Source organism: Homo sapiens, chromosome 4 (genome assembly GCF_000001405.40).
Source record: "Homo sapiens chromosome 4, GRCh38.p14 Primary Assembly".
Classification (NCBI taxonomy): Eukaryota; Metazoa; Chordata; class Mammalia; order Primates; family Hominidae; genus Homo; species Homo sapiens.
Genome location: NC_000004.12, coordinates 104,626,308 through 104,649,581, shown reverse-complemented (window position 1 = coordinate 104,649,581; position 23,274 = coordinate 104,626,308). Strand labels below are relative to the sequence as shown.

Below are 23,274 nucleotides of genomic sequence, written 5' to 3'. Positions count from 1 at the left end.
AGAATATACAAAGCCTGGAGTTAGACAACCATCTGACTTTTTTTTTCTTTTTAAGCTTGGGTCTCACTCTGTCACTCAGGTTGGAGTTTTGTGGCATGATCTCGGCTCACTGCAACCTCTGCCTCCCTGGGCTCAAATGATCCTCTCACCTCAGCCTCCTGAGTAGCTAGGACCACAGGTGCACCACCAAGCCCAGCTAATTGTTTTTGTATTTTTGGTAAAGACAGTGTTTCACCATTTGCTCAGGCTCATCTTGAACTCCTAAGCTCAAGGAATCCACTCACCTCAGCCTCCCAAAGTGCTGGGATTATAGGCGTAAGCCTATGTGCCCAGCCCATCTGACTTCTTAAAAACTGTAGACTTTCACCTCAGTAATTGTTGTAGTCTTGTATGCCTCTCTGTGAAATTTTAATAAATGAAATGTCTTATTTTTGTAGAACATTTGTATTAAGTGCACTGTACTTTAATTCATGTATGTAGCTATCCAGATGTTCCAAGCAATGTAGAATAAACATTCTCATCACTGGACTGGACTGAGTAAAATGCATCAGAAGAATTAAATAAATAATAGAAATTTTAGCTTATCACAGCAGAAAAAGATCCTCCTGATCATGGAGGAAAACTTTTTCATCTCTTCCTCATTTGGTATGATATTAGCTGTAAGTTTGGCATATATGGCCTTAATTTTGTTGAGGTATTTAATACATACTTTCTATATGTAGATATAGATAGATATTTGTTGAGAGTTTTTAACATGAAGGGATATTGAATTTTGTCAAATGTTTGTTTCTATTGTAATTATTATATGTTCTTTGTCTTTTTTCTGTTAATGTGGTGGATTATACTTATTAACTTGCATCCCTGGGATGAATCCCACTCCATCATAGTAAATGATCTTTTTAATGAGAATTTTTGCATCTCTGTTCATCAGGGATATGAGTCTGTGGTATTTTTTTTTCTGTTGTGTCCTATTTCAGTTTTGGAATCAGGGTAATGCTGAGCTCATAAATTGAGTTTTGAAGTATTCACTCCTATTTTTTGGAATAGTTTGGGGAGAATTGGTATTAGTTCTTTAAAAGTTTGATGGAATTTGGCAGTGAAGCCATCATGTTCTAGAGTTTTCTCTGATGGAGATTTTTTATTACTCATTCAATTTCCTCACTCATTATCGATCTGTTCAGATATTCTACTTTATAATTTAATCCCAGTAGCTTGTATGTGTACAGGAATTTATCCACTTTTATATGTTATTAAATTTGTTGACATATAGTCATTCATAATAATTTCATGATTCTTTGTTTTTCTATGGTATCAGTTGTAATGTCTCCTTTTTAATCCTTTTATTTGAGTCTTCTCTCCTTTTTCTAAGTTAATCTAACTGATAGTTCATCCATTTTGTTTATGTTTTTGAAAAACCTACTCTTTGTTCATTGTTCTTTTAAATTTTTTTTTAAGTCTCTATTTCATTTATTTGTGCTCTGAGTATTATTCTTTCCTTTCTTCTACCAGTTTGGGGGTTTGTTTGTTCTTGTTTTTCTAGTTCCTTGAGGTGCATTGGTAGGTTTTTTATTAGAAGGCTTTATTTTTTTCTGATGTAGGTGTTTTTTGCTATAAACTTGCATCTTAGAACTGCTTTTGCTGTGTCCCATAGGTTTTGATATGATCCACTTCCATTCGTTTGTCTCGAAAAATTTTAATTTTTCTTTTAACATTTTTATTGACCCATTGGTGGTGTAGACCCATGTTGTTTAATTTCCATGTATTTGTAAAGTTTCTGAGGGTTTTTTTTTTTTTTTTGGTTGTTGATTTCCAGGTTTATACCATTTTGCTCAGAAAAGATATTTGATATAATCCCTATTGTATTCAATTTGTTAAGACTTGTTTTATGGACTAACGTGATTTTCTTCCTTTCTTTATGTAAATTTGAGATTCTATATTGTATCGCTTTCCTTCTGAAGAACATCTTTTAACATCTTGTAGTGGAAGTCTACTGAAAATGGAGTACCTCAGTTTTTGTTTGTCTGAGAAAGTTATTTCTTTTTCACTTTGGGAGGTTAATTTTACTGGATACAGAAGTTTAGGTTGGTGTGGGTTTTTTTTAAACAATTCAAATATTTTACTTTACTTTCTTCTTGCTTGCATGATTTCTGATGAAATTTTGCTATAATTCTCTCCTCGTTCCTTTATAGGAAAGCTTACCCCTTTTAGCTTCTTAGAAGATTTTCTCTTTTGTGAAACTTACCCAGAAATATTAATGTTTATATAATTATTACTAAAACTCCTAAATATCATGACAATTTTTCTCATGTACCTTACCTTATATTCGGTTTTTACCCCTATCTTATAGACATTCAAAGAAACACTGAGATAGTAAGTGATTTGCTAGTCTCATTTCAGATCCAGTGCTCTTTATTACAATGCAAATTTATATTGGCTCACACCAATAGTAACATATCTCTACTAAAAAGCTCTAGTAATAGCATATGTTGAGTGATCAGTTTCATCATTTAATGATGAGTTTCATCAAATCAAGTTCTTGCCTTTCACTATATTGACTTCTTATTTCCTGTCTTCCATATTTGAGTTCCCCTTGGGTCTACCTCCTTGCAGCAAGTAAGAAATCAATGCCGAGCAGTACGTACTTACCATCAACAATGTCTTACTTAATACATAGGTTGCATGTCTAAAAACAAAAAGAATATTAATTTCCTTCTTTTCCACTTGTAACAAAATTCTGATTATACCTTCTACTCTCTATTAACAGATGTGATGTTGCTTCAATTACACGAACACAGACAATTTCCCATTTAAAGAATATCCAGGTATAATTTACCTAATAACAAGAAAAGGCACAAGAAGAACTTACACAATAGGAATACTATTTGCTAAGTCTACCTACCATTCATGACCCAATAACCTTATTGTCTGATTAGTGAATGAAAAATTGCCATATAACTTCAACAAGTTTCCCAAAGAGATTCATCAATAATGTATAACTTCCATTTGTCTTAAATTTCCCCATGGTTAATGTCAAATTCATAGTTATAACATTTGTTTTTACATACCTTTCGACAGGGAGGCCATATGAGGTCATCCTTCATGCTGGAATGTTTAGTTCTAATCTAGAATAATACATGTGCTCCCCTCCCAAGGGTTTCCAGGCTTCAGAGTTCCTTCATTTCTCTATGGAAATGATGTCTTTCTTCTTATAAAAGACAGAAATATGTTCTTTTCTATTTAATAACTTCACCTGATTATCATGGTAACCCTTGTTATGCATCTTGTTTAATAGTTACTCCATTGAAGTCCACACTGGAGTTAGAAATTCTGACTCTTAATCGGTGCTCTCTCACAGACAAATTTAGAAAAGAGCAAGGAAGTTTAGAATGTGCTCCTTCTCCCCACCTCTTACACACCAATACAGCATATAATTATTTCATTTAGCTAAATTTGGTAGAGTTTGGATTTTTTTAAATTAAGCATATATTAGCAATGTAATAAAGCATTTTACAGCCATTTTGAGAGCTCAAAATATATGAACAAAAAGAGAAAAAGAAGACTAACAAAAAAACTATTTTACCACCTACCTCCCCCACTGCCTCATTTGGTATATTTTACATCTGAGTGCTTTTGTCTAATTCTAATGCTGAGGATAAAGAAGGAGTTAGAGCTCAGAATTCTAAAATGTGAAATATTTATTTAAATGTTTAATAGGATATCAGGCTTTCAGTATCATATAATATATTCATCAAAGACAAATAATAAACACAACTATGTGTAGATTAGTACATAGAAAGAAACCACAGATTTTAAATTCTCACATATAGAGAAAAATTTATAGGGGTAGAATGGAGAAGGAAATCATTTATGAAAAAATATAACAGGGTAACTATATTTAATGATCAGTCTTTAAAAATGACTCACTAATTTCTTCTCTTTAATGCACATCAGATCAACAGGAGTGTTTATTTCTCCTCCTTTGAATCTGGGCTGGCCTTTGAGCAACTGAATGCACAGAAAGGAGGCCTTAAGGGACCTTTAGCTTCTGCTTCCTTCTCTTGAAATGTTCACTCTTTGGGTACTCCTTCTCAGAAACCAGCCACATGGAGAGGTCATGTGGAGGAAAACTTAGGAGACCTGCTTACTAGCATTTCTCAACCAACAGCTTACATCCGTTGCCAGTTATAGGAGGCAGCCATCTTGGATGTTGTAGGCCACGTATGACCTCACATGACTATAGCCCTCGCTGACATCATAGGAAGCAGAACAACCATTCAGCTGAGTCCAGACAACTCAGCGATGGTGAAGAAATGTTAAAACACTATTTTGGGATTAGGTTGCTATGCAGCTAACAGATAACTAAACTATCTGTATAGGAAATAGTTGACCCATATGTGAAATGGATAGACCAAAGTCCAGTATAAAAATAAACATGTTAGACTCAGGAGGATAAAGGAAATTTAAGATAAATAACTGACTAATGTATTTTTGCTAAACAAAATATATTATAATATTAGACAGACATCTTTTACTGTATATATTTGAGGGAAGAGGATAATATTTTACAAGGTAATTTATTTATTTATATATTTGAGACAGAGTCTTGCTCTGTTGCCCAGGCTAGAGTGCAGTGGCATGATCTTGGCTCACTTCAACCTCCGCCTCCTGGGTTCAAGCAATTCTCCCACCTCAGCCTCCACAGTAGCTAGGATTACAGGCACGTGCCACCAGGCCCAGCTAATATTTGTATTTTAGTAGAGGGGGGTTTCGCCATGTTGGCCAGGCTGGCCTTGAACTCCTGGCCTCAAGTGATCTGCATGCCTTGGCCTCCCAAAGTGCTGAAATTACAGGTGTGAGCCACTACACCTGGCCAGAAGGTAATTTTTTATACAACAGTTTTATACTTATATGGAAAAATAGAGTATGGCCTTTATCAGATATACCTGTGTAATTTTATGGAGTGTTCTAATTCTCTTGGCCCGAGATTCAAAAAAACTGGAAAATGTTCTTTTCTAAAGATCCCAAGAGGTTGACCATAATATATAAGAAAAATACATATTTAAAAAATCAATAAAGATATATTCTGAAACCAAAGTTTTACCACACCTCTTAAAATTTCAAAGGAAGTAATTCTCAATGTCTTTAAATCATTTCCAGTAACTGACCACCGACTATATGCTAAGCATTTTGTCTGAAGATATGAAGGTAAATACTACATAGTCTCTGCTCTGAAGAGGCCATGAGACATGGAACAAGATTGAAATGTAAGGAGAAGGGAGTCAATAAGGAAGCAAAAGTTTCTAAGTGCCCACTATGTGCAAGGATTATTCTAAATTCCTTTGATTTTATCATCCTTTTTAAAAATCACATATTGAAGAGTAGTTTTATTCCTATTTTTAGGTAAAAATAATTATAAATAGAGATATTCTGTAACTGGTTTAAGGCAAGCTGGTAAAATAAGATAGCTGATATTTAGAAATCTGTTCTTTTTTTAGCTCCCAATCTAGAAATCCAATACAGTGCATTGAATGTATTGACATAAAAGTTCATGAGGACAAGGGCAAAGCTCTCCTGGAAGAAGGAACCTCTGCATACATGAGATCCAATGACAGGCTCCCATTGTGACTGCGTTCCCATTCTCTATTGCTCTCCACTGGTGTGCTTATTTTGCAGTAGGACTGAATGGCTAAGAGCATTTAGAGTCAGACCGATTTGGGTTATAACTCTGGTAAATGTGGTAAATACGTGACTTTGGACAAGTTATTTATCAGAGACTTTTCTGTCTAAAAAATAGGAAGAATGACATGTACCTCATAGAGCTATTATAAGGATCACACAATGAGATATTGTGTTATATACTTAGTACAGTGCCTCTTAGCAAATTATGGGAGTTAGTCTAAATGAATTTTTCATTACTACTCTGAGTTGTCATTGATTGGTCTGGGTCAGTTGGTCTGATTGGGATTTTCCCCAGGCATACAATTTTTGCAGATCTCTCCATATTTAGTAAAATGACTCTAGAAATAAATTTTGTGACTTGACCATCGATTATGACCCTTTCATGTTAGACCATATCTCCAGAAATGAGGTATTACATGTCCTTTAGAGACCCTAGTCCCACACTTTATGACATGTTTCTGTGCATTTGGAGAGACAGCATTCAGGGATAAATGTCTTGCCTTATCTCATGGAGCAATTTCTCCTCAGCCTTCTCCTTTGGTAGTCAGCTTCTACCTGTAGCTTCAGTGAAGCAAGCAGCATCTGCAGATATGAAAACCAATTCTTAAATGTGTATTCTTCATAACATTCAAAAATAGAGAATATGTGATCAGTAATGGATAGGCACACCTATTAGCTCATACTTTCAGTCAGTCCCTGAACCTGAACAGAAATAGTTAATTTTCAGAGATTGTAAGTAAAAAATATATATATCAGTGCTTACTTCTACTCCAATGCTGGCCTCATCTCAGCCAAAGCAGGGTCTTCAAAATCTAGACTATTTGAGGTCTGAGGGTCTGTCTGCAATTCTCCTCAGGCAACATGACAAGGAGGGAAGTCAGAGCTCAGAATCCTGACTCCAGATAACAAGGGCGGCACAGGAAAAATAGGAGAAAAGACATGAATTCATTATAGAATAACAGCCTGAGCAGGCACTTACCAAGTGAATTGGGAAGGAAATTTCTTAGAAGGCCTTAAGAATGTGGAGGAAAAGGAGCAGTTAATCTGAAATACAAAATTGAAAGGCATGACAGATGCATGATTCTAGTCTTCCAGATAAGATTCCTTCTGGAATTCAAAAGCATCTAAAAGAAGTAAGACAATTGGCTGCTGGGTTCAATATGTAAACACAGTGCTGGTTGACACAGTGAAGATGTTTATTACAAAAGTTAATGCAATGTCAGGGCGGAAGATCAATGTTTAACCCGATTTTGTTGCAATCTGTTGTTCTGCCTTGGAATACAGAATGGAAAATTAGCAAAGCACAGAAAGGAATATGTAAAGGATTTTTTCATAAGCAAACTCAAACCACGGACACTGATATTTGTGATAATAAAAACAAATCAAGATTTAGTTGTATTTGTAATTAATACATGCCCTTTACATTGTATATTCACAGTTTTTATTAATTTGAGTAATACATTATGATTTTTATTTGCCTCAATATCCAGATAGTCACAGATTATTAGAAATTCTCTATGTCCAGTCCCCCGATTTTATAGAATAAATCATAAAGAACAGAGTTGAAGTTACTTAGGTCAGGAAGAAGTATGGGCAGGAAAGAACAATGGCTTTCATTTCACAGGTAAGAAAAGACAAACATGAGACCCCTAGGAAGAATTTTGCCTATGCCGTGAATCTGGTATTGTATTACTAACAAATAAGCCTGTGCTTGATACATTAGGCATTCTCATTATAAAAATATCTTTAACATTCTGTGATGTAAAATATTCTGCAAGCATCTAATATTCATTTTACTGTAGAAAAAATAAAGATCATTCTTTATGCTATTGAAATAAAAATAAATACTTGGTTGCTGGACAGAGAAGTGAGTTGAAACAGCTTTTGATGCCTTCACATGACCTCTAGCTTCCTTATAATTTGGTAATTTGGGTAATATCTACTGAGATTAGTGCAATCTTCTTCCACAATTATTATTAAAGGCAAGTTTTCAGTTTGTATTTAAGAAATTATTACTTGAACAAAAAAAGAAATTATCACATGGAAAACAAACTAAAAAATGACTTTTTTCCCATTGTATTATACTTCGGAAAAAGAAGCACTCAGAAAAAAAATGCTATGTATTTTCCAGGAGTGAGGAAGCCTGTTAAAAGATCCTAGGGAGAGTGAAGCATGGGTTTCTGTCCAGCAGCAAAGGGATGACCTCACAAAGGCTCTAGCTGCTGCAGTGGGGCTGTGTAGCTCGCTCCTGTCAAAGGCATGATTAGTACAACCCCCCAGTGCAGCTGTCCATTGAGGATGACCAATTTAAAAAGAAGGAGTCAGCCAGTTAATTACTTTGTCAGCAATAAATATAACAATGGGCTGTGGTGGCAGCCCAATCCCGTGATGCATGCAGGCAGCCATCTGTACATCTTCCCCATCTACTTGGCACTTGTTGCTGCAGAATTGGTTTGGACAAGTGGCTTACAGTCACATAACAGACAGGAACTGTCTCCCCTTCTTTGGGAGGCTGTCTACATTAAGTGTCATTGTTTCAGAGGAATCAACTTTGGGTATAAATTGGGGACTCAGCAATAGCCCTGGCCCTGATGATAAATAAGGAGATTATTTATGCAATCTTGTTTTTATTCATTCACTAACATTTCTTGAGAGACTTCTGTTTGTCAGGCATATACTAGACAAGTATGGGAAGAGAACTGAGTCTATCTATATAGCAGAAATTAATATACAACAACATAACAACACTAGTAATTTTCTCTGTACTTTATGGCCAGTGCACTGGATAGTTCTAACTTAGACAAGTCCACTGTTATAATCCACATGGACAATTAAAGTTGCTGAGTTGACTGGCTCTTCTCTGTTTTTTTTTTTTTTTTTTGGTCTGTTTATCCAACTCTGCCACTTTTTCTTCTTTGAACTCTTTGAATAATTTTTGAAGGTAGCTATTTGAAAATAAAAGGCAGCACAGAAAAGCTGTATCTAATACTTGTCTACTTAAATTAAGAACAATGGAAACTGTTACTTTATGTTATTGATTAACATCTGATTTATTATTCCTTTAAGTAAAGATGGTGAATTGCTGGTTTGATAACCGTATTTTAATTTCAGTTAGATTTTTGTCAAACTCCAGAGGGATATCATTCCAGTCCTCTTCCTCAGTATTAGAGAATACTTTAGAATCAGGTAGACCTTTCTTCTCCTAATGCCCAGAGGGGGATATTTAGAATTTAGGATTAAAACAGAAGTGCTATGAAGAAACATTACTCTAAAGCTTCTTGTATTCCGTCTTTCCTTTGTATTGTCTACTTTTTAATCAATTTCTCCACTTTTATCTTCTTTTTTATTTACCCCTTATTAACCAGATCTAGACTTTTTATCTCTAATTCCTATCCAGAAATATAAATCACAAATAAATATTTTAAATAAATGATTACTTAAATTTCTTGCTGTTAATTTTCAAAAGTAGATGAGATAAATATTCTGTATTTGTTTCTTGCTAAAGGGTTTTTAGTGAATAAGAGCCTTTTTCTAAAATGAGCAAGAAGAAGGAGAATAAGGAGGAAAAGAATAGAAATCCACCTTACTCTATTCATTCCATTTTGTCTCAAATAGGTTTTATGATGAGTTGGTGTTTTTAAATAGCCTATTACTCTGATGAATGGAAGAGAACACATTGACATGTGATTTCAAACAAAATGTAGATTTATGTGGAAAATGAGTTTTTATGATGTTATAGTAATTGTCTTGCTCTTTTAACATTCTCTTCTGAAAAGCAAAGAAACAAAAGTAACCTTTTTCTTTCTTTCCTCCCTTCTCTCTCTATTTTTCCCCCTTATTCCCTTTTTTTCTTTCTTCTTTTTTATTCTTTCATCTTATATCTTTAAGTGCTTAATATGTGCCAAGACTGTGCTAGGTCCTGGTGAAAGTGATGAACACAGTCTATGCTATCTCGCTCTCTCTCCCTTTATTCTTTCCCTTTCTTTCTTTTTTATTCTTTTATCTTATACCTTTAAGTGATTAATATGTGCCAAGACTGTGCCAGGTTCTAGTGAAAGCGACAAACACAATCTATGCCTTCAAATAACTTATAGTATAGTTTTAAAAATGGACAAGTCGAAAAGCAGTTTTAAGTGCCCTCAATCATGAATTTATGAAGGCTCTTTATAAGAGGGATGTTCAGCTTAGCCTTGAGGAGTCTGGGAAAGTTTCTCCAGGGGGAGTGTCCTCTAAGTAGAAATTTGAAGATTGGTTCAGCATTAGTTAGGTGAATAGGAATAGAGGTTGTTTGGGGGGCATTGGAAACATCAAGTAGATGATCAGAAAGCAGAGATGAAACACAGAGTTTTTAAGATCACTTTTTCCTGTTCCCTAATCCCCACCTATTTATGGAAAACCCTGCAATAGGGGTGTGTGTGTGTGTGTGTGTGTGCGCGCTCAGGCACACATGCGTATGCATGTCTGTGTGTGTGTTTCTGTCTGTCTAGAAGAAATATATTTGTCTAGAGAATGATAAGATGGTCTGAGAAGTTTGTTTAGAAATTTCTGGAGAGGAGAAAGGAACATTTAAAATATAAAAAATATAATAAAAGCTGCTATTTACTGGGTTATTTTATGATGTGACAATCATTGCCAAATGATTATTGTAATTAATTTTAATTGATGAATGTATTATCAGTAATAATATTATTCTTATAAATAAATAAGTTAATGCTTGGAGGGTTTAAGCAGTTTGCCCAAGACTAGATAGATAATAAGAGTTTGAGGCACTTTCTGAAATCAGTAGTTTGATTTGATAATCCACCCTCTTAATATCTTATACCACCCATGAAAATGTCCAAAACTGAAGAACTAAAAGAACAAAAACAAAGATATAAACAAAATATACTTGGGAGGCATGTTAACAGCAGCAACGCTAATATTTCTTCAGTACCCACTTTGTATAAGGCACCATGTAGGGCACTTTGGCAAATATAAGAAACATAATTATTTCTTATCTAATTATCTAATGATTATATTTCTCATATAATAGTTTATCTCTCTCATATTTACAATTTAGATAAGGAAACAAGAAATGGACACAAATTCATAATACTGAGTAGCAATAATCAAATAACATTTGTATTGCATTTTGTAATTTCTGAAATCACCTTCACTTACTTATATCATTTGTCTCACAAAAATATGTGAGATAGTCATATCAGTCAGCTTGTTCTGGAAAAGGGCTATATAAGAATGTCAAATATTAGTGGTTTATAACTACTACTAACCTTTTTTCTTCTAGTCTTTGGTCTGTAGGTTCGCATTGGTTTCCTAATCTTGTCTGTTTGACTTTGAATGGGTCGTACTTGACTCCAAGCTTAGAGTTGGAGTGGTTTCATTTCATATGTCTTTATTCCAAGGCACAGGATAAAGAAGTGATGACTTCCTCAGGTTTGTCAACCTCAGAGTGACTTATAGAAGCACAAAAAAGACAAACTAAATCATGGTTGCACATTTAAAGCCTCTGATAATGTCATGTTTATCAACCTCTTATTAATTAAACCAAGTCACATAGCTTAGACCAACATCCATGAGAAGTGAAATTATATTTCATCCACAGTGATAGATACTACAAAGTTACAAGGGAAAGGATGTAGATGTATTATCCTACTATAGGAATAAAAAGAAATTAGAGAAATAATTCCATTTACAAATAAAACTTGCCAAGAATTTAAGAGGCCTTTGCATGATCACATAGTTATTAAGTAGAGGAGACAGGATTCAGCTCTTTGTCTTAGGATGTTGACTTTTATATGATTTGCTATGATACAACAGCACTCTAAAAGAAAAAATGATCACTAAAACTAAAGGCCATGAGTCTGAAAATTTTAGGAGAGGTGAGATTTGATATAGATGTTGAAAGTATGTGGGTATTAAGTAGGTTAACTGTACATGCCAGCTTACCTTGAGCAGTCTCTGAGTAATCATCCTTCCCCTCTTCTTTCTCCCCAGCAAAAAGAGTGCTAGTTTGAAAGATAAAAGTACGGATACTTTAGACTTTAATAAGTGGATAGGAATAAGGAATGTATTTCAATGAAGCCAAACCTTGCACGTAATTTCTGAAAAGGGACACAGATACACATGGTATATTCAAATGCAATGAAGAGATTAATTTGTTTGGGTGTAGAGGCTACATGTCAGGGAGTAATAACAGCAATTTACTGGAGACATAGGTTGAGACCAATTAGTGGGTTTTATTGGTTGCCAGACAGAGAAGATGGGGCTTATTTTTTATAGTCGGTAGGAAGACACTGAAAATTTTAGAGGAGGATAGTGACAGTATTACAGGAAGTGATTTAGAAAGATAAATGTAGGACAAATTGAATTCTTAAAAAAGTATGGGTTAAAGGAGCAAGTCATTAAACAAATTCAGTAGCCTTGATATGATATGAGGGCATGCTAAGCTAGACCCAAACTGAAGACAATGAACTATAAGGGATAGGTATGAAAGTTGTCACAAAGGAAGAGTATTAAACACTCAAATGGAAATGTACAGAAAGCAATTGGATATATGGGAGTGGAACTCAGGGAGAGGTCTGTGTTAGAACTATAAATTTGAGAGTCTGGTCAGGACATTTACTCTGACCTTAGACAAATTACTTAACCACTTTGAATTTCAGTGCTTTTTTCTAGTCAAAAAATTGAAGAACAAAATAGCACATACCTCTGTGCAACACTGAGAATCTACCCTTCAAAAAAGGTTAGCTATGATTATTAATTTGCACATTAAGTAAACATACAAACTTGCTTAATTGTATGTTATTGGCACTGGAGTATTTTGTCTGATAAATGCAATGTTAAATCGACATAGATTTACCCTTAGGAGTTTATGGTCTAGTAGGAGAGATGCTCTTAGTCAAAATATACGAGACACAGAGGCATAGAAAAACACTATTGAATTTTGGGGTGGGAATTATTTCCAGTTGTGGGAGGCATTTATAAAGAAGGAAGAAAATGAGCTGGAGCTTGCCAAATTACTATAATTTAAATATATAAAGATGATAAATATAAATATATTTGCCAGAAGGATCAACATAATAATAACAGAAACGACATAATAATAATAACAATAAGATCTAACTTCCAACATTATATCCTAGCAAATAACAATCCAGTGATTAAGTTTAGCTTAATTTATGGTTCTATAAAAAGAATTAGTGTGAAATAAGCTTGGGAGTGAGGTCATGGAGATTTGGATGCTTTAAATGTTAGGCCGAGGAATATAAAACAGCCACATTGACAGATATGAGGAAAGAGGAAGAAATGAATGACAATATCAGAGCAGTTCTTTGTTTAGAAATATTTTTGCCATATTTTAAATGAATTGGTGCAATAAAAGGACTTCAGTTAAGATGCTCTCATAATAACTCAAGAGAAAAGTAATGAGGACCTGAACTGGGACATAGGCAATGAGATTGGAGATAAGAAGGTGAATGAAGGAAATATTAAAAATGTAGATTCAAAAGTACTAAGAAAGTGGTTGGATCAGAATGTGGGGTACATGGAGCAAGAGAAATAAAACAATCATTGAGAGTGCTGAAGTTTCAAATCCAGGAAAAATGTTCACACCTTGGACAGAAACAGTGGTGACTGGGTCTGCATGAAAAAACAGTAGTTTCCATTTTGGCTCATTGGATTTTAGGTGTAAGTAGAATAGCCAAGTAGTTGTATTTAGCAGACAATTAGAAATATGAGGCAAAAATTTAAAAGAGAAGTCGAATCTGAAGATATTAATCTAAGTGTCAACTGCATAGAATTAAATTAATTAGACTGTTAAGGAAGAAAGTATAAAAAGAAGAAAAAGAAATTTAAGAGCAGAGATGGAGAGTAATAATCTTGAGGGGGAAAAATGAGATCAAAGAGACAGAAAAGAAATAAGGAAGTAGAAGGAAAGCCAAAAGAGGTAGTGTTATGTACATGGAGTAGGAATATGAGCACTTTCTAAGAAAATCATTCATGGGGCTGCTGTGGGGACAGGAGAATTCACCCATTTTGGTATTCGTAGAATAAACTGAACTTTACCTGAGAGTGGAATGATTAGAGAGTGATGCACAGTATCAGAATGAGGTTGGCACTGTAGAGGTAAACATGTGGGTCTTGTTACCAGAAGGATCAGATAAAGCTGGAGGAAACAGGGAGTTGAGGAGAGTTAAACTAATTAGAGCAGAACACTGAGGCCTGAACTTAAGGACAAAAGGAAGAATATCTTCCTTTTGTACTTCCAAAAGGAAGTACATCTATTCTGTGGTTGTTTCAGGGATAAATAGGTTTATCCAGTAGCTTGGATATAGTGAAGTAGTCGTACTTAGCAGACAATTTGAAATATGGGCAAAAAACTGTCTATTGAGGTTCACTAGTTTTGTTTTGTTTTTGAGACAAGGACCTGGTCTGTATAACCCAGGCTGGAGTGCAGTGGTGCAATCAAAGCTCATTGTAACCTCGAACTCTTGGGCTCAATCATCCTGCCTCAGTTACCAAGTAGCTGTACCAAGTACAGGCAGGCACCATTATGTCCACCTAATTTTAACGTTTTCTGTTAAGACTAGGTCTCACTATGTTGCCCAGGCTGTTCTCAAACTCCTGGGCTCAAGTGCTCCTGCTGCCTCAGCCTCCCAAAGTGCTAGGATTATAGGTGCGAGCCACTGTGCCAGCTACAGTTCACCAGTCTCACTCATGGCAGGTATTTAGTCTCAGAGATATCTCTGGATCTTTGGAACAAAATATGTTATTTAAATGCTCCTGCTCTTCTCCACTTTATTTTTACACCAATAAATGCTTTCACCTTTATCTTCTCTTAAGAGGCCACTTTTTATGTCAATATTCTAAATAACAGTTCTTCATAATTTTACGTTTTCATTAAATTCACTCAAAGCTCAGGTCCTTTCCCTTAGACTGAACTACTGAACTAGCCCTGTTTTTGTTGTTGTTGTTGTTGTTTTGTCAAGCCTGCACATACTGATGGTTCAATTTTCATTTAGAGATGAGAGCTCAGAATCTGCACCAGTCCTACTGAACACGTGTGAGAAAGACATGACATCTGCCTCAGGAGAATGTGAAGTGAACAACACATGCTCCGTCTTGGGCACACTTGTGCTCAGTTAATGCTAATTGGTTGCTCATTCAGTGTCCCTTGCTATAATATGTACTACTGGGAATTCTATGGCTTAGGAATAACCTATTCTGTCCTTCCAAGGGATATTTGAAGGGATCTGAAATCATCTGTAAGAATAGATACAATTCTATCAAGCTGTAAAAGAGGATTCTGGTTTTTTCGCCAAAATATTTAATCTTATAGAAGATATTAGATGTTATTAAGAGAAGAAAAGCACAGAGTAGTGCCTTTACATCTTCCAGATTTTCCCAGAAGATAATATTGCTGAATTGTGTCAGTTTATTTTGTTCAGTTTTCTTCATTGTGTGCTTGGCTTTAGAAGGTATTTTACTCCCAACAGCTCTGTTGGTAATAAGCAAGATGTTAGGCCAGTTGTAGCTTCTTCTAGATGTGTTTCTGAGGAGCTGCTCTTATTAATTTCTACCCCATCTGTTTAGTCAATTTACCATAAGTGACTTTTCCAAAACTAAAGCTTACCTTGTATGGTGGCATTCTGTAAAACCCTAAACATTCACATTCTTGTCGAAAACGACATGGTATCATGGATGTTTCTATGCATGTGGAACTTCTCTGTTCTCCTAACTCTTAATTCTTTATTATTATAGTGATATATATTCTTAAACCTCAATTCTGACTCTTCTACCTGTGCAGATCTCCCCATTCTCCGTAGGCTTTGGTAAATTTAAGGCAGGAAAAAGTATAGTAGAAAGAAGTCAGGAGTGATAAATCAGACCTGGTTTCTGGTTTTAGGTTTTTGAATTTGAGTACATTTTGGTCTTCTGAATCTTAGTTTTCTCATCCACAAGATGAAAATGTTGTGGATCAAGACTTGGAGTTCCTAGTTGTCAAATGATTTGGCAGTCCTTCAAACTGATAATCCTCAAACAGTTGTTCACCATGTATTTAATACAGCCAAGGTCAATAAGGTCAATGCTTCAAGGATTTTTCCCCCAACTTGAGATTCCTGACCACATTGGCAGCAATAAGATCAATTTATATTTTGGCAGCTATACAAGGACTCTCTTCTTTGTGTTAACTGGCTCTCTATTTCTTCTAAACTCCTGTGCTGTTTCAGCACCCTTTACAGGTAAGTGCTCAAGATTTCTTCTTACTCTATATGTGATATGGCCCCTTTGATTGTCCATCATTTTCATGATATAATGTTAATGTCTGATTTAACATTATATGGTATTAACATGGTTAATGTCTGATTTAACCAGCTGTGCTGTTTCCTGTTTGTACTCTCCCGCCTGAAATGTTCTCACTGTCCCTCTCCCCCAGATCCAAATGTTTCAACCTTGTTTCTTCCATGGACAACTTTCTCTTGACCTCTCAAGACAGAATGAGGTATTTTCAACTATATACTCCCATATGCTTCTTCATACTTCTTTGCAAACTTTATTTTATTGCAATAATGTATTTGTTTATACATATATTTTTATTAATAAACTGTGAGTCTAAATAGTAAGTCTATTTTAAAAGTTAAAAACTCTGTATTTGGTTTTAGGTCTCATATCCTTATCTAAATGCCTATATTACTCAGCTTTGTGAAAATGATGTCTACAGTGCATAATAAACAAGCCCAAACTCAATGGTTTTAATAATAAGTATTTATTTTTCATTCACACATCTGTGGATCAGCTGGGAGGGTACTGCTTCAGTCTGCAAATGTGTGAGTTGGCTGGGGCATCTCTGTACCATGTATCATATACTGAGGCCCATTGGATAAGGGGATAGCAGCTATTCTTGTCATGGCAATGAGAAAAGAACAAGGACAATTCAAGGCCTTACTTAAAGCATGTATGCTATATCCCATCATTAAAAAAAGACCCATGGACAAGTCTAAAGACAAGGGGCATAAAAGTACACTCCTCTGACCATGAAGCCATGAAAAGAATGAGAATGTACATTATACTACAGGGGAGTGAAGAATTAAGACCACTAATTCACGAACTCAGTCACCATAGTACTCAACAATGTGTTTGCTGTTGAATGTTGTTGAATGAATACATATACATGAGTAAATTCTGAAATTACAGGTGGCTCAACAAGGATATTGTTTAATAAGGGGGAAAAATGAAGACAAAGTGCCAATCTGAGCTGCAAGTTGTGCTACTTTCTTAAGCTGTTCATTGATTAATAAAATAGAAGCCAAATGGTATGACCTGGCCTTTCCCAGTGACAAGAGGCTCTAGAAAATAGCAGTTGTGATTCATTCCTTAATCCAGACTTAAGCTCATGCATAAAAGCAGCCTTTTTCTTATCCTCACAGCAATTGTCTATAAGGGAGAAAAGGAAAGAAGAGATAATTCCTGTTAAATCCCTGACACTAAGGGTAGGAAGTGATTCCTTTCTAATTTCACCAGGCTCTTTAGTTTCCTGAGAAGCTTTCCTTCCCCGTCCCCCCAAATTCTCACTGGGATTAGTTAGCAACAAATGATTCCTTCTCTTTATTACAGAAAAACCTGATACCTATCTCAAACCTATAATTATTTTTGTTCTAAAATGGGAGGAAAGACATTGGGTCAGTAAGTAAACCATGAGTTGAGATGGAGGGATAACCTCAGATAAAGAAGAGCAAGTTAAACAGGAAAAGAAATCACCATATAGGGTTTTCATATTTTACATGTTTGTAAAAGACCACAGGAACCTCCCACACAAAAATTTGTTTCATGGATATGTGAGGCCTGGAGTGAAGTCCTATGTGAGCTTTTCAGAAAGCCAGTGTTCCATGAGAACAAGAGCAGAGGAGCAAATAGATGTGAGAATCCTGGAAGATTTAATCAGGAGAGAGCAGGCTAGGAAATCAGCTACCAGAGGAATCTAAATAGAAGGCAGAAGAGTGAAGCTAGGGGAGAATACAAACCTGCAGAAACTGCACCCACCATTCTGCCAAGTTAGTGTGGGGGAGCAGGTGACAGCACCCACAGCTTCAGCCAGAAGCCAAAGGAGGTTCACCTAGGAAAGAACACTGCTATGAACTGAATGTGTCCCCCAAAATTCATATGTTGAAACAATTGCCAATGTGGTAGTATTAAGAGATGGGGCCTTTAGAAAGTGATTAATTCCTGAGGGCAAAGCCCTCATGGATGGGATGAAGGCCTTTATAAATGAGCTTGAGGGCGTGGGTTCACTCTCTTCTGCCTTCCACCATGAGAGGAGTAAGCAGGAAGGCCCCCATCAGATACCAACTGCCAACTCCTTGGTCTTGAACTAAGCCTCTAGAATGGTAAGAAATAAATTTTTGCTCCTAGTAAATTCTCAGTCTCAGGTATTTTGTTATAGCAGGACAAACAAAATAGAACAGTACTATTTTTCCAGAAAATAAAAAGAGGTGAGAGGTCTCAATTTGGAGAGTAGAAAGAGGCCAGATTAGTAGACTCCATAGTCCTGGGAACCCAAGCCTCTAAGCTCCTGCGATTTAGGGAGAAGAAACAGAATAGAGAAACCTATGATGGGTGTGCCACTTTAAAACCTGTGCCACTCTGAGCAATGGGAGACAAGTTTGTGATTTTTCCTTCCTTGTTCATGGTTTGTATGTCAATATGCCCTGGTATTCTGGAAAGTCATGAACCATGTGGGAATCTAAAGCCAGAGAAATGAAAATGAAAGAAGGTAGTGAGCACTCAGAATGGAAGTTTCCTTCTCTTTCTTCCTTTTTTCTTTTATATTTTGCTATTTTTTTTTAAAAAAAATAGCCATAATACTTTTTCCCTCCCCCTCAGGATTTTTTGAAAAGTGATTTATAAATTATTGCAAAGCACTTGGAAAGGGTAAAGCACTTAGTAACATTCCAAACCAGGCCAAGCACGGCAAATTTGCTGAATGTTGTTGGGAATTCCTTTAAGTTTTCAAGTCTCTGTGAGACTGTGAAGACTGATACTTTGTTCCTTTATGTGAACTTCAAGTTAGTATGTACATAAATAAGTAAAGTAATGTTATTTGACTTTATCCAGACAGAGGAATAGAAACTCAGAATTTTACAGTTTTTATACTCTTAACTGCACATCTCTTTCAGCCTCTATTTTTAAGTATGTTTACTCATAGATGAAACAACAAAACAACAACAAAGCAAAAAGCAAAGGTACATGAACAAACTTTTATATTAAATCTACTTATCTTTGTCTGTATTCACCTGTTAAAATAAGCAAAAAAAAAAAAGCCAGGAAAAATGGGCAAGGATGCAAGAGTCAGTCAGCACACATTCTGAGTGCCGTGTCTGTTCAGTAGTGTTCTAGGAACCTTGGAGCAGACTTCAGTATAAGAAAAGACCCAGGTCTTCACAGAGCTTACAGCTTAGTGGTGAGACAGATAAATACATGAGTAATAAAACTATAAAGAGATTTTAAAACTTAAAAAATATGGTGTGGTATTTTGTGTGTGTGTGTGTGTGTGTGTGAAGCAAGTTTCTGATATAAGACACACATGAGGAAGATTTTTTTTTTTTTTTACAGTTTTAGTAGCTGTAGATAGAAAGGAAAGAGATTTACATATCAGGAAATTCTTTACAAAGTTGTCTTAGTTATAGTATTTGAAACAAGAATGGCTTGGATTATGAAGATGGAAATGTGTGTTAGGTAACATCGGAAATGGAGAAGCCATATCAAAACAAACATTGATAAGATTTTATAAATGACTTAGTCATTTTTAGCAGCAGCCAGGCTGCAAGTATATCATGCTTTTCCACATCATTACTAAAGAAGACCTATGGAAAATTTAGTATCTGTCTTTCTAGACTTCTTAAAACACCATTGAACAAGTGAGGGTTAGTTTAAAGAATTTTAAACTAGGTTTTCCTCTTTACCTAGAATTTTTCAACTGCTCCAAAATGTGGAAACATACAGTAAGAAATAAAAATGAATCATAATTGTGGACCAAATCTCTTGCTTTTCCAGGCTTGTCTTGCCTCATTCCATCTGCCTTGCTCGCCTGCTTTCTCTGTCCCACATAAATGTCCTGTTTCTTCAACATCCCCAGACATGCACATCTTTAGATCCATGTCTTTGCCCTTTTGCTTATGCAAGTTCTTATACCTGGAATGTTTTCCCCTCCCACCCACAACTGAATATTCACAATATGTTTTCCAAGGACCAACCCTGACAACAACCTCTTTGTGAATCAATTCCTGATGCCTCTTTGCCATCTAAATTTGCCCCCTTCTGGGATCCCCCAGCACATTGAACATGTTTGCATTTTACCACTTACCAGACTGTTCTAGGTCTATACAATTAGGTGTTTATATGGTTTTGCCTACTCCCTAGACTTGAGTTCTTTGAGATCTGACATGCTGTTTATTCCAACTTTTTATTCTCAGAGCATAGTATAGTGTCTGGTAATTAGCTGAGATTCAATAAACAATAAAGGACCGAAATTTTTTTTTTTTTTTTTTTTTTTTTTTTTTGGTGAGGCATTAATAGTCTAGAAAGAAAAAAGGAGAGACAGGTCATCTCAGATTAGTATTCATACCAGTTTGAAAATTCACTTTCTATTTTAATCTTTTTTTCTTTGAAACTTCAAGCTAAAAAAGCAGAAATTTTCTAGGTCATAGGATTGGCAGACTGGCTATAACTGCCTGATGTTTTCTGAAAAATAGTTGGCAAGTATGTATTTGTAAAAACATTAAGAAAATGCATAAAACACAATTTTTAAATTAAGTGAATGATAAAAATATAAATCTATAAGAAATATATCAATGTTCGTCTACATATGGAAAATGAAAGCACAAAAATAATATAATCTTCATTTGCACAGGAGCAATCTAGATCATTCATTCTCTGGGTCTTTGACTTTTTCACCTTTCTCCTTCTGCTGCCCACATTTTGATAGTTTTACAATTCAGTATATATCAGAAGATAATACTAGAAAGAAAAAAAAAAAACAGAAAATGTTGAAATTAGTCGATGAGGTTTTCTTAAAAAGGAATTTGGTCTAGACAAATGTTGAGAGTTTTAAATTCACTGATTAATTATCATGTTCGCAGTTTCATAATCTCTCTGGTAATAGTTAGCTATAATTTAAACAATCTGTTTCAGTCATTTAATTCTGAAATTGTTGAAGTTGGGCACTTTTATTTTGTATACGGTGTATAGACCCAGATGAACTAGAAATACTGCATTTCCTGCTTTTTCAGGTATTTCCAAAAATCCCAATCCTGCTGCTCTGGTGGGGTACTTAATCCTTAGTAGAGTAAAACCGAGGCTTCTCTATGATTATCAAACTTCCAGAATCATACACAGTGACAAGGTATTGGACGTTTAGAGAGGCAGCCTTCCAGTGTAGTATCTCTTCTTACAGTTTATCATGCTGATATAGTCCATTCAGTTCCAACTTCAGCTGCTTCTGTACCATGCATAGAGAATAGGTATCTTGGTAGAGACTAGCAAAAGACTCACAAAAGAGTAACTAGTTACAATAAATGCAAGAATTGCTAAGTGAAAATATGAATTTATATTGTTCTCAGAATAACTGATCATCAGTTGCAGACTCTAAACACAACCTGTATTCCCCTGAAAATGCAACAATTTGGCTCCCATGAAGAAATTAAGGAAACAGAACTGAAGTTCTATCAGTGTCATTACTTCCATTTGTTTAAAATACAACCAATGATGTGTGAAATTATATAATTATTATATAAATATAATTTGTTAATTAACATTTTCACTAATAGTTAATTGGAAAGTTCTTGCTTGTCAAATGTTTAATATTACTTTTCCCTCCTTAGGCAACATATATCTCCCACCATTGAGCATATTTTTGGTCAGAATTATATTTGTTTTGGCAAACAAGACAGCTATAAACCTCATGATCAATTTTGTGTCATCATTGTTCCTTTCTATTAGGAATATTAGTCTTTGAAAAAAGTTATTTTAAAAAAATCAGAATTTTGAAATCTAAGTGAAAGATTATAATAAAAGTATCTCTTTTAGGATGAACTCAGAGGGGTGGAAGTGGTCTCATAGTTTTACAGACAAGAAAACTAAGTATGAAGAGGCTAAATAAGTGTTTGAGTCAGATAACTTGTGATTGTTAATTTTCTGTCAGCATGACTGGGGTAAGGGATGGCCACATAGCTAATAATTCATTATTTCTGGCTATGTCTGTGATGGTTTCCAGAAGATATTTTAGCATTTGAATCAGTTGACTGAGTAAGGAAGTTCTGCATTCACCAGTGCAGGTGGGCATCATTCAATCCACTGAGGACCTGAATTGAGCAAAAGAGTGGAGGCAAGTTGAATCTGCTCTCTTGCTTGAGCTGGAACAGACATTTTCTCCAACCTTTAGTCATAGGCATTCGTGGGCCTTCGGACTCAGACTAAGACTTACACCATTGGCCCTCCTGGCTTTCAAGCCTTCAGGCTTGGACTTGGAAATATACCATTGGCTTTCTTGGGCCTTCATCTTGCAGATGGAACATCGTGGGAGTTCTCAGCCTCCATAATTGTGTAAGCCAATCCCTCATAATAAATGTCTTTCCATATATCTGTATATATCCTATTGATTCTGTTTCTCTGGAGAACTCTGACTGTTTGATGGGAAAAAAGGAATAAAACCTCTCTTATTTACTAACATCAGTGACATTTTAAGATTTACAAATCACTTTTCTATGTTGTGCATTTTCCATTTAAACTTCATAATTGTCCGAATTATGCCTTACTTTATTCTGATTCCACACATTAAAAAAAACTGAGAGTCATTTACTAAACAAGAAGCTAAAACCTAATAGCTAGAAAGAACAATAGGACTCTCTCAAATACTGTATTTGCAGTAAACCAATAGAGTTTTTTCTAGATTATAGATTGTAACTAGAGTATGTGACTGTCCCTTTTGAATACTATAATATAAAAAAATTACTGATTTAGACAATGCCTACTTTGGTAACCCCATCTTCTACCACATTTACCCATACACATCCTTCTTCAGCAGGACAATCAGGATGGATGGCATTTTCATGCATGACCCAGAGTTATGCAGAATTATCAGTTGGTACACCCTGATTTACTCTTTTCTATTCTCAACAAGAAAGTACACACAGTTAGCCATACTGTGAAGTTAAAGGTATAAGCCTCCAGATGGCCAAGTCTGCCCACAACTTCTGACACCAACTGCAAGGAATTAGAGTTCAACTACAAAACTAGAAGCAAGATTCCACACAAGAACAGCCTTAATTCTGACACCAACTGATGTTCAGGGGTTTTCTTAAAATACCCTCAGATTTGAAAATTTGCTTTAAAGACTCACAGAACTCATTTGATCTTATTACATTCACAGTTATGGCTTATTACAAGGATAGGATACACACTAGAGCCAGCCAGTGGAGGAGACTAATAGGGAAGAGTCTGGGAGGATTTCAAATGCAAAGTTTTTATTGAACAGAATGCACTACCCTCCCAGCACTGACCTGTGATAATATACAGAGAGTATTACCAACTTGGAAAGCTCAC

The 23,274-nt window shown here is 35.4% G+C and overlaps 2 long non-coding RNA genes across 2 annotated transcripts in view; one reads left to right on the top strand and one right to left on the bottom strand.

The window, feature by feature from the left end:
• CXXC4-AS1 (CXXC4 antisense RNA 1) overlaps window positions 1–23,274 on the bottom strand; it is a 206,628-nt gene that overhangs the window by 48,011 nt on the left and 135,343 nt on the right. The window contains exons 2-4 of the long non-coding RNA NR_125926.1: window positions 6,443–6,571; window positions 6,180–6,261; window positions 2,647–2,683 (exon numbers count right to left, since the gene is read on the bottom strand). This is a non-coding gene — a long non-coding RNA (CXXC4 antisense RNA 1). The remainder of the gene's footprint in view (window positions 1–2,646; window positions 2,684–6,179; window positions 6,262–6,442; window positions 6,572–23,274) is intronic.
• The window catches only part of LOC124900745 (uncharacterized), a 141,925-nt gene that overhangs the window by 6,358 nt on the left and 112,293 nt on the right, over window positions 1–23,274 (top strand). The gene's annotated exons all lie outside the window — the stretch shown is intronic.